This window comes from Homo sapiens, chromosome 4, assembly GCF_000001405.40.
Source record: "Homo sapiens chromosome 4, GRCh38.p14 Primary Assembly".
NCBI classification, from domain to species: domain Eukaryota; kingdom Metazoa; phylum Chordata; class Mammalia; order Primates; family Hominidae; genus Homo; species Homo sapiens.
The window spans coordinates 5,577,323-5,590,207 of record NC_000004.12 but is presented as its reverse complement, the minus strand read 5'-3'; the positions used below and the strand labels follow the sequence as shown (position 1 = coordinate 5,590,207).

General features: G+C 43.0%; 1 protein-coding gene across 7 annotated transcripts in view; it reads left to right on the top strand.

Annotated features, from left to right (window-relative positions):
• The window catches only part of EVC2 (EvC ciliary complex subunit 2), a 180,538-nt gene that overhangs the window by 119,341 nt on the left and 48,312 nt on the right, over positions 1-12,885 (top strand). For all 7 annotated transcript variants that reach the window (XM_047449611.1, NM_001166136.2, XM_017007736.2 and 4 more), the window contains one exon: positions 5,358-5,585. In XM_047449611.1, coding sequence (XP_047305567.1) covers positions 5,358-5,585 — 228 coding nt within the window. The remainder of the gene's footprint in view (positions 1-5,357; positions 5,586-12,885) is intronic.

Here is a 12,885-nt window from a genome sequence, read left to right as displayed (position 1 = left end):
TGACAGTTCAGGGCCTCTGCAGTATGGGTTCTTCTCCCCCACACCTTTACGGCTTCATCTCCCACTTTCCCTCTTAGCTTTTATCTAATTCAGCCTCACAAGTCTCTGTAGGGCCCCCTGCCTCAGTGCCTCTGGTCATGCTGTTCCTCTTCCTGAATGCCTGGATCCTTCAGTATCTGCTTCAAATGCCAATATTGTCATGACTTTCCCTGACCCCTCCACCTTCTCTTTTCTCTAAACCACATAGCACCATATACAGACCTCCCTTATGGAACCCACCATATTCCACCTTAGGTAATAAGAGTATTAACAACGGCAATATTTGTTAAACACTCCAATGTGTCAGGCACTGTTCTGAGCACTTAACAGTATTAGATTATTAATAATCAGAATAACCCTATGAGGGACTTCTGCTTGTGACCAAGACAGAATAAAAAGTATCAGAATTACTCCTTACCTAAAACAAAACAAACAAAATCTATGGAACAGTGATTTTCAGGACACTGGACAGCAGACAAAACTGATCCCTAAGAAATAAAAAATAAAGGAATTCACCCCGTCATTGTCCCAGGTTACTGCCCTAAAAGGGTTTCCAGGCTGAGGCACAGCAAGAAGGAACCCAGCAGGTCTACTAGGGTAGACCCTTTGAGTAAAAGAGACAAAGCTAAGAATTTGGGGAAGCCAAGTCAGATAGATTTCACAGGACAGAATCCCAGAAAAGAAAGAGCTGCACAGAGAAAACTCCAGAGGTGTCTACTGGGTCCTCTTGAGTATTCTGCTGAGACCTGCGCAGCACTTCCATGGAAGAAAATTGCTCAAAGCTAGGGGAAAGACCACCCAAAATACTTAGAAGAATACTCAGCATTTACACCAGGTTGGGGATAGTGACAGTTCCTTCCACCCAAACTAGAAAGCCTCAATTCAGAGGACATCAAATATAGTACTCAAAAAGGTCTTGCCTCGGCAATGGAAATAATGAGCCCTATGCTAGTCCCACATAAAAGAGCTTAAAAACATAACCCAAAAGGTTAGCCTGTTTCCAAGTAGCTTAACTGCATCTCAGAACAAAGCTCAATAATTATAGAAACACAAAAATATCTAGGACCCAACAAGGTAGAATTTACATTGTCTGTAGTTCAGTTAAAAAGTACCAGGCATGAGACAAATAGGAAAATATAACTCCTCATGAGGAGAAAAATCAATCAATTGAAACCAATCCAGAACTGACACAGATGTTAGAATTGACAGAGAATGGCATTTATGCCTAGTGTTCCATTATTGGAATGCTAAGCTTGTGGGAGTTATTTATATTGTACTGCTCAAGGGCATCACCAAGTTCTGATTTTTCACACACAAAAAATGGCAACCTCCAGCATAAATGGGGTAAAACAGTCATTATAATTTTGTTTAATATGTTCAAAAAAGGTTAAGTATAGATATGGAAGATGTAAAAAGATATATCTATATGTCTATATTTACATCTATACCACACATATTTTTGTTCTCTAGAAGTTTGATTTGAATATACACACACACACATACACATGTGTGTGAGAATTAACAGCAGATTAGACATTGCAGAAAAAAATTAGTTAGCTTGAAGATATAGCAATAGAAACTATCTAAAATGAAAACAGAGAAAAGTGAGCCATGAGACAACTTCAGGCGGCCTAATGTGTGGGTAATTGGAATTCCTGGAGAAGAGGAGAGAGAAAAAGAAGGATGAAAACATATTGGAAGAATTAACGGCTAAAATTTTGCCTAATTTGATGACAACTATAAACTCACAGATTTAAGAAGCTCAGTGTATCCCAAGCATAAGAAACTTGAGGAAAATTTTTCTAAGGTGCATCATAATCAAATTGCTCCAAACCATTGATAAAGAGAAAATCTTCAAAGCAACTGAAGGAAGAAGATACATTATGTACCCTACAAAGCAAAGAGCAGGTTGACAGCCGATTTCTCATTTCAAATAATGCAAGTGAGAAGAACATGGAGCAATGTCTTCAAAACAATGAGGAAAACTGCCACCTAAAATTCTTTATTCAGAAAGTATATCTTTCAAGAATGAAGGTGAAATAAATTTTTTTAGACTTACAATGCTGAAAGTTTTCCTTACTAGGAGATTCATACTCCAAGAAATGTTATAGGAAATCAGGCAGAAGGATTTTCATAACAGATAGAAATCTAGAACTCAGGGAGGAGACCACCCCTCATATTGTCTTATGCCCAATTTCTGCCTCCAAAGAAAGAAGAAGTAAAAACTAAAAGGCAGAAATGAAATCCACAAGCAGACAGCCCGGCGCCACACCCTGGGCCTGGTAGTTAAAGATTGACCCCTGATCTAATTGGTTATTTGCATAAAAAAGGCACTGTGAAGATCCCTGTCCTGTTCGGTTCCTTTCTAATTACCAGTGTATGCAGCCCCCAGTCACGTACCCCTGCTTGCTCAATCACGACCCTCTCACATGGACCCCCTTAGAGTTGTGAGCCCTTAAAAGGGACAGGAATTGCTCACTCGGGGAGCTCAGCTCTTGAGACAGGAGTCTTGTCTATGCTCCTGGCCAAATAAACCCCTTCCTTCTTTAACTCGGTGTCTGAGGGGTTTTGTCTGCGGCTCTTCCCGCTACAGAACCACACAAAAAAATGAGCAATGGGAATGGTAACTACATGGGTACTTACGTTAGATTCTCTTTTAATTTTAAAAATCTTCCAAAAATTGACTGATTGTCCATCCAATGGAATATGATGCAGCCATAAAAAGGAAATGAAGTTTTGATACAACAAGTAGATGAACTTTGAAAACATTATGCGAAGTAAAAGAAGCCAGACACAAAAGGTTGTTCTTCTGTAGTTCCATTTGTATGAAATATCCGGAATAAGGAAAATCATAGAAACAGAAGATTGGTAGTTGCCAAGGACTTGGGGGTGGGAGGACTGGGGAATAATTGCTTAAGAGGTGTGGGGTTTGCTTTTGCTTTAGGGGTGGTGAAAATGTTCTCAGACTAAATAGAGGTGGGGGCTACTGAATCCTAAATGTCACTTAATTGTTGACTTTAGTGAATTTTATGTTATGTGCATTTCACTTCAATAGAAAATTTTAAAGATTGACTTATTTCAATGAAAATAGTAACAAAGGAGTGTGACGTTTTTAACGTATGTACAATTAAATGTGTGACAGAAAAAGCACAAAGACCAGGAAGCAAGAAATGGGAGTAAATTAGCATAATGTGTGTAAGCCAAAAGTATCTGAGACAGATCTCAATCAGTTTAGAAAATTTATTTTGCCAAGGTTAAGGACACACCCATGACACAGCCTGAGGAGGTCTTGATGACATGTGCCCAAGGTGGTTGGGGCACAGCTTGATTTTATACATTTTCGGGAGGCATGAGACATCAATCAATACATGTAAGATGTACATTGGTTTGGTCCAGAAAAGTGGGACAACTTGAAGTGGGGGCTTCCAGATCATAATTCGATGAAAAGATTTTCTGATTGGCAGTTGGTTGAAAGAGTTATTGTCAATAGAAAGGAACATCTGGGTTACACTAAGGGGGTTGTGGAGACCAAGGTTTTATGATGCAGATGAAGCCTCCAGGTAGCAGGCTTCAGAGAGAATCGATTGTAAATGTTTCTTATGAGACTTAAAGAGTCTGTTCTATCTGAAATTCCAAAAGGAAGGAGGGTATAAGGAGGCATGTTCAGCTCCCCCTTCCCTTCATGGCCTGAACTGGTTTTTCAGGTTGACTTTGGAATCCCCTTGCTGAGAGGAGTGGTCCATTCAGATGGTTGAGGGGGGGCTTAGAATTTTATTTTTGGTTCTTGTACTCCATGTGAAGTGATATAATATCAATTGAAGGTACCCTGGGATAAGTCAAAGATGTGTACTATAAACCCTAAAGCAGCCACTAAAATAACAAAACAGAGCTATAGCTAATAAAGCAACAAAGGGAGGGAAGGGGGAAGCATAAGAGATCCTCAACCCAGAAGAAGATGGTAAAAGGTAAATCTCAAAATAAGTATTTTCAGTCAAAACAGCTAGACAGGTCGGGCATGGTGGTTCACGCCTGTAATCCCAGCACTTTGGGAGGCTGAGGTGGGTAGATCACTTGAGGCCAGGCGTTCGAGACCAGCCTGGGCAACATGGTGAAACCCCATCTCTACTAAAATTACAAAAATTAGCTGGGTGTGGTGGTGCATGCCTGTAATCCCAGCTACTCAGAAGGCTGAGGCAGGAAAATCACTTGAACCCAGGAGGTGGAGGTTGCAGTGAGCCAAGATTGCACCACTGCACTCCAGCTTGGGTGACAGAGCGAGACTGTGTCTAAAAATAAAATAAAATAAAATACAACAGCTAGATAAAAAAATATGTACCGTATGACTCCACTTATAAAAAAAAACTCTAGAAAATGCAGACTTGTCAATTGTAGCTGAAAGCACATCAGTGGTTGCTAAGTGGGGGGCAGGGGGTGGGATTACCAAGAACATGGATGTGTTCACTACCCTGGTTGTGGCGATGGTTTCATAGGGGTAGAAACATGTCAAAGTTTATCACATTGTGTACTGTAAATATGTGCAGGTTATTATAAAGAAGTTATACCTCAATTAAGCTGTTTTGTTAAAAAAACAAACTAAACTCTGTGTGTTGGATGGAATTATTTTCTCCACTTTATAGATGAAGAAGCGTAGGCATGCAGAGCTTAATGATTTGCCTGAGGTCAAGTAAACCCTGGGCACCTGGTTTGAAGCCTACATGGAACAAAACAAACATAGAGAAGTGAGACCGCTTCCGTGGAAACTATAGACCCAAAAGACAAATAGTAGAATTTCAGGAAGGGAGAATGGGAGGACATTTCAATCACTGCAAAGAGCACAAACCACAGACACAAAGCGCATGGTGTGTAGAGCACAGCGCACAGCTGGGAAGGGCATTCCCAGTTGTGCATGTGTGAGTGGGGTAGGGGCAGAAGAACAGACCAGACCTGTCCAGGGGAACCTTGGCTGGGATTGGGGTGGGGAGCTCCTTGGATCCCATGCTCAGGAGTTGAACTTCCATCCTCTAGGACATGGAGAGACTTAGAAGTGTTTTCAGAAGGAGAGCAATGGGCTCAGGTGACTCTTGAGGATGATACATATGGAATGAAGGATGGCTGGGCTCCCCAAGCCCCTGGCGTCTTCATACGCAGGGACAGCCTTTTCTGATGTTGCTCCCTGCAGGTTCCCAGTGCGTCTCCATTGTAAACTTTTGGTGGTCCTCAGAATCCCAGGTCTGTGAACTCTGAAAGGCTGTTTGTTCTCCTCCACCCTCCTCTACTCACTGCTCTCTGGGTTTGGGTCCATCCCTGTCCCCTCCCAGGTTCGAGGTGAATTGCTGCGGGAGAGAGTGCAGCGGATGGAGGCACAGGAGGGAGGCTTTGCACAGTCGCTTGTTGCTCTGCAGTTCCAGAAGGCGTCCCGGGTGACCGAGACTCTGTCGGCCTACACCGCCCTCCTCAGCATCCAGGACTTGCTCCTGGAAGAGCTGAGTGCATCTGAGATGCTGACCAAGTCGGCCTGCACACAGATCCTGGAGTCGCACAGCCGGGTGAGTGCAGGCGCTGGGAAGGAGAGGGGGACAGAGCTGGGTCTTTCTGGTACCTACCTCTGCATCTTCCTCTATGAAACAGGCTGCAACCCCCGTCCTGTCTGTGCTGTGGGGTTGTGGTGAGGATTAAACGAAGTGACATATTGGAGAGTACTTGGCACTCTCTCAACCAAAGATGGCTCTATTTCATTGCTCTGAGAAGCAACCCTTTTGGATTTTAACATCTCTGAAACTTGGCAGGTGCCATGGGTTCATTGGCAGTATTGTTTCTTTCATTGTGCTAGGGAGGACAACAGTGTATCTTCCTATTAGCAGCATCCTAAATGCAACAGTGTACTGGGTTATTTATTATTTAAAAAATTCTAATTATTAGCATTATCGCAACATGCTACATTCTTTCCAAAATGTGAGAGGTATATCCGTAAAACAAAAGCTATGGTAATAACTGTTTTGGTGACTAATTTTAGGTCTTTTATGTGTAGATTTTAGAATTTCATTTGTTATCTATTATTATCATAATTACTTATAATAAGGAAAAAACCCCTCACATTTATTGAAACCCTAGTATGGGGAGGGAAGCGCTACTAAGTTGTAAATAGACATGCTCTCACTTCAGTGTTAATAATTCTTTACTTAGTTATACTTATTAAGGCAGGAGAATCGCTTGAACCCAGGAGATGGAGGCTGCAGGGAGCTGAGATCATGCCACTACACTCCAGCCTGGGTGAGACAGAGCAAGACTCCGTCTCAAAAAAAAAAAAACTGTGTTTCTTCTGAAGTACAGCATAAACAAAATAAAAAACAAAACTACCATAGAATTGATAAAGTGAAGAGATTTTTTTTTGAAAAAAGTCTAATAAAATATACAAACCCTTGGCAAGAGCAACCATTAAAAAATATAAAAGACAATAATATTAAGAGTATAAAAAGCAACACGACTATAGATGCAGTAGAGTTTTTTAAAATAAGAGAATGTTATGAACAACTTTATACAGATGAATTCAAAAACTGAAATGAATTCAAAAACTAGAAAAATGCAAATCACCAAAATTGGCTCAAGTAGAAAAAAAAAGTCTGATAACCCTCTTGCCATGAAAGAAATTGATTCAGTACTTTAAAATCTTCCAAACCACACAAAAGACACCCAACTCCAGTAGTTTCGTAGATGAGCATTGCCAAAGTTTAAGGTATTTTGCCAGTCTCATATATGAATTATTCCTTGTATTAGAAAAATAGGCAATATTCCTCAACTCATTTTATCATGCTAGATAACTTTAACACCAAAACCAGACATGAACAGTACCAGAAAGAACAATTATACTTCAATCTTGCATGTGAACATAGATGTACCATTTGAAAACAAAATAGCAGAATACAGCCATCTATAAAAAATTAATACATTATGGACAGGTTGGGTTTATTCTAGAAATATAAGGTTGGTTTAACATTAAAACATCCATTTACAAAATTCACCTGATTAACAAATTAAAGGGGAGTGACTCATGTGATCATTTTAGTATATAGAGAATATGTCTTTATATTAGTCTGTTCTTGCATTGCTATAAGAAATACCCTGAGACTGGGTAATTTATAAAGGAAAGAGGTTTAATTGGCTCATGGTTCCACAGGCTATACAGGAAGCCTGATGCATCTGCCCAGCTTCTGGGGAGGACTCAGGAAACTTACAATCATGGTAGAAGGTGAAGGGGAAGCAGGCATGTCTTACATAGCCAGAGCAGGAGGAAGAGAAGTAGGGGGAGGTGCCACACACTTTTAAACAACCAGATCTCATAATAACTCCATCACGAGAACAGCACCGAAGGGATCGTGCTGAACAATTCATGAAGGACCCCCGTGATCCAGTCACCTCCCACCAAGCTCCACCTGCAACATTGGGGATTACAATTCAACATGAGATGTAGTCCCACCCAAATACCATGTTCTTCTCACATTTCAAAATATAATCATGCCTTCCCAACAGTCCCCTAGAGTCTTAACTCATTCCAGCATTAACTCAAAAGTCCAAAGTCCAAAGTCTCATCTGAGACAATTATAAGTCCATTCCACCTATGAGCCTATAAATTAAAAAACAAGTTAGTTACTTCCAGTGATGCAATGGAGTTATAGGCACTGGGTAAATATTCCTGTTCCAAAAAGGAGAAATTGGCCAAAAGAAAGGGGCTATAGGCCCCAGGCAAGTCTGAAATGCAGGATGGTAGTCATCAAATCTTAAAGCTCCAAAACAATCTCCTTTGACTCCATGTCTCATATTCAGAACATGCTGGTCCAAGGGATGGGCTCCCAAAGCCTTGGGCAGCTCAGCCCCTGTGACTTTGGAGGATTTAGCCCCAACAGCTGCTCTCAAGGGCTGGTGTTGAGTGCCTGCAATATTTCTAGGCACAGGATACAAGCTGTCAGTGGATCTATCATTCCAGAATCTAGAGGATAGCAGCCCCCTTATCACAGCTCCACTAGGCAGTGTCTCAATGGGGACTCTGTGTGGGGGCTCCAACCCCACATTTCCCCTCCACACTGCCCTAGCAGAGGTTCTCCATGAGGGCTCTGCCCCAGCAGAAGGCTTCTGCCTGGACATTGTGACTTTTCCATATATCCTCTGAAATCTAGGCGGAGGCTCCCAAGACCCAACTCTTTCATTCTGTGCACCTGCAGGCTTAACACCACATGGAAGCTGCCAAGGCTTACAGTTTGCATCTTCTGAGCAGTGGTCCAAGCTGCACCTGGGGTCCTTTGAGCTGAGGCTGGATGCAGGGAGCAGGGTCCCAAGGCTGCACAGGGCAGTGGGGCACTGGGCCTGGCCCAGGAAACCATTCTTCCCTCCTAGGCCTCTGGGACTGTGATTAAAGGGCTGCCGTGAAGTTCTCTGAAAACCCTTCTGTTTCCCATTCTCTTGGCTATGGTGGGCTGCAAATTTTCCACACTTTTACACTCAGCTTCCCTTTTAAATATAAGGTCCAGTTTCAGGTCATTTCTTTGCTCACACATATGAACATAGGTTGTTAGAAGCAGCCAGGTTACATCTTGAATGCTTTGCTGCTTAGATATTTCTTCCAGCAGATACCCTAAATCATCACTCTCAAATTAAAAATTCCACAGATCTCTAGAGTAGGGGCACAATGCCACCAGTCTGTTTGCTAAAGCATGGCAAAAGTGACCTTTACTGCAGTTCCCAATGAGTTCCTCATCTCCATCTGAGACCTCCTCAGCCTAGAATTCATTGTCCATATCACAATCAGCATTTTGGTCACAACAATGTAACAAGTCTCTAGGAAGTTCCAAACTTTCCCTCATCTTTGTGTCTTCTTCTGAGCCCTCCACACTCTTCCAATCTCCTTTGGTTACCGAATTCCAAGGCTGCTTTCACATTTTCAAGTATTGTTGTAGAAATGTCCACTCCTCAGTACCAATTTTCTGTATTAGTCTGTTCTCACATTGCTATAAAGAAATACCTGAGACTAGCTAATTTGTAAGGAAAGGAGGTTTAATTGGCTCATGATTCTGCAGGCTGTACAGGAAGCATGATGCATCTGCTCAGCTTCTGTGGAAACCTCAGGAAACTTACAATTATGGCAGAAGGCAGAGGGAAAAGAGGCACATCTTACTTGGCTGGAGCAAAAGGAAGAGAGAATGGAGGAGGTGCTACACAGTTTTAAACAACCAGATCTCACTACAACTCACTCACTATCATAAGATCAACACCAAAGGGATGGCACTAAACCATTCATGAAGGATCCACCCCCATGATCCAGTCACCTTCCAGCAGGCCTCACCTCCAACACTGGGGATTACAATTCAACATGACAAATTCAGTCTTTAATTGAATTTAACACCCATTCAAGATAAAACTCCGTAGCAAATTAATAACAGGAGGAAACCTCCACAGAGTACTTAGCCAAAGCCCACAGCAAGTGTTACACTGGAGGTGATTAGCGTGGAGGCGGATCACTGCCCTAATAGAGCCTGCAGAGGGAAGAGCAGGTCCAAGGTCATTTAGTGAGTTAGGGGCAGAGTGAGACACCAGGAACATTTAGCCTCCAGTGCATGATTCATCTGCTCATCCTAAGTGCCCAAGAAACACCCTCAGTACAGCCCTAAAACACATAGTTGTGCTGTTTACTTGAGACCACACTGATTTCTATTAGTATAATAATTGGAGAGTACAACACTTACATTTTCGATTTTATCCTAAAACTCTTTTGAGTAACTCCTACCTCTAGTTTGTTTAGAACAGAGAGTTAATGTGTCCTGAGTGGGGAACAGCTGATAAATCAGATGATGCCGTATTCTTAAATGAGTGTTAAGGCAATGCATATGATACACTCTTATTTGAGTTTGCATTTGAAATGAAGACAAGCCTGTTGTTTTGTTCCAGATATTAGACTTGCATTCTGCAATTTGCTCATTCTGTGTAAACCACTTTCCTATTGGGAATGGGCTTTTAGGCTGTTAAACATTCAGGAGAATTAAAAAAGCATGAAATAGAATGCTTTGGAAGAAATTACTCCTAAGAAAACTATATCAAGTGCACCTCATCTGATGAAAGATTTAGACTCATTTTGCAAAATTGGAACATATGCAAGGCTCAGTTGGATCAGAAGGCCAAGTGACAATGATAGGCAAATTTAAATGGGGTGGACTTACTCCTAACAGATAATGTGACCCCAAACAAATGGTACCCACTGTATTTGCATTTCAGTTTAAATTGCTGTGTGTTTACTTTCCCAAGCCTCACCTGGCATCTTCCTCTTCTTCTTCTTTGTTTATTGTTTTGAGACAGTCACTGTCACCCAGGCTGGTGTGCAGTGGTGTGATCTTAGCTGACTGCAACCTCCACCTCCTGGGTTCAATTGATTGTCCTCCCCCAGCCTCCCGAGTAGCTGGGACTATAGGCATGCACTATCATGCCCAGCTAATTTTGTATTTTTAGTAGAGACAAGGCTTCACCATGTTGGCCAGGCTGGTCTCGAACTCCTGACCTCAAGTGATCCTCCCACCTTGGCCTCCCAAAGTGCTGGGATTACAGGTGTGAGCTACCACGCCCAGCCTCGGCATCTTCTGATCTTCCCTCTGCCTTTCTCCCTATGGACCACTGGCCACCATCTGTTGATTCTACCTGAGCTTTCTGCTTTCCACCTTTCGCTGCCCAGCTTCACTAGTCTGATGTATCTAGACCGGAAGAACAGAAATAACCTTGATATTAACCAGCATCAATGGAGCTCTCATTATGTCCAAAGCAGTGGGCTAAGTGTTTAAACCTCATGTCCATCCCATGACATTTTCATACCCATTCTACAGATGAAAGAGCTGAGGCTTAGGAAGGTTAAATCATTTCACCAAGGTCCCACAGCTGAAAAGCAGACTTTAAACCTGCCTCCAAAGCCCATGTTCCTGTCCTAAACTCAATTTCTGCCTACCTCCCTTTCTCCCTACTCTAGTTACCCCCCTGCACGGTGGCCAAGGGGATGTTTCTGAAAAATAAAAGTGATGATTCACAGCCCCATCCCCAGCTCTACATTTAAAAATCCCACCTTTCACCACTCCCTCTCTCAGATCCTGCATTTTAGCCCCTGGACCTTCTTGCTGCCCCCTGAGCATTGGAGACACATTCAGGCATGGGTCCCTTTGAAGGATCTCTGCCTAGAATGCTTCTGCTCTACCTCCTTGCAAACTCCTATCTATATTCTAAGACAAACCCAAATGTTACTTCCTCTGTGAAGCCATCCATGATTCCCTCTGGCAGAGGTGGTCTCTTCCAGCTCCCGTAACCCTCCATCCCGAAGCAGATGATGGCATTTCCCATCTCTGCAACTGTTGACATGAGTCTCTCCCTCACTAGACAGTGAGTTTTCATGTCTCATTCACCCCTGAATCCCCCAATCTATTATCTCTCTCTCTCTCCCCGTTTCTGTGTGTGTCTTTCTTCCCCTCCTTCCCTTTTCCCTCCCTCCATCCACACTTCCATCCATCCATCATCAACATCTATGTATGTATTCATTCATTCAGCAGATACCTGTGGAGTGATTACTAGGGGCGTTAGAGCTGAGTGATGGGACCCAGAGTCAGAGACACCTGAAATCACCCCTGACTCTGCCTCTTGCCCAGCTCTGTGATTTCAGGAGATTTCGTTATACTCTCTTGCCTCAGTTACCTTATACATAAAATTAGATGATGAAAAATTCCTATCTTGTGTTATTTTGTGAAGATTAAACCAACTAATTCATGTAACTTTTATAATCTGCTGATACAATCTGGCACCATATTGGCATTCAGTAAATGCCAGCTGCTGTCATCCCCATCATCATCATCATTGTTGTTATTGTTGCTGTTTCTTCTTTGATGAGCTATGCACTGTGCTGACTGCTGGGAGAAAGGAGAACATGTCAACGATGCTCCTGAGTCCCTGACCTCAGCATTTAAAATCTGGTGAGGAAATCAGCTATTAGGGAAGACAATTCCAGAACCAAGTTTTGGATTCAAGTTGTTCCAGGTGGCAGGCAGGTGTAAGGGTGCAGGGGTTTGGGGACACCATCAGCAGATTATAAACGTGGGACACATTTCCACCTCTATTCCATTCCTAACCAGGGCTCTCCTGGTGCTTGAAAAGCTCTGTGTGTTCCACCGTTCCTCTGATGACACAGACAGGCTCAGGTGTGACCCTCCCTTCTTGAGGTGGGCTGGGGCTGGCATCTGGGTAGACGTGGGGTCTCTGTCTCCAGCTCCTGGCCATGCTGACAGCATGACAGCATACACTGCTGGAACTCCACTGGGCTGTGTTTCCTTGTGGGATGCTGCAGCGAGAGGGATGGTCATAGTTCCACATCTCAGCATGCTAGGAGCCCTGCTCAGGAGTTCTCGAAGGCCCAGCACCCAAATGCTTGGGGGGGATAGAAGGTTCTCCGTGCGATGGTGTCCATGCTATAGAGAGATGCAGTCTATCTCTGGCGGATTTTCTTCTGTCATGGTTCTTGAATAGTGTTTCAGAGTCTTTAGGGGGCTTTGAGACCCTTTTGAGTGTTTGATGCAAGCTTTGGCCTTTCTGCAGAAAATTAGACCATTTTGTACCTATTTAGGAGGATCAAGGACCACCCTCTCATGGTGAAGTCCAACCAAGGCCTCTTAGGATTTAACACCCTGTCCACCTTCCAGTCCTAATTATAGTACTGACCAATCTGGTAAATACTGGGTTAAATGTGCCTGCATTCTCCAAGGCCTGGGGCCCTCCTGCCTCCGCCCACAACCCACCTAAGCAGGCTGTGGACAGTTTCTTGTGTGAGATTATCTA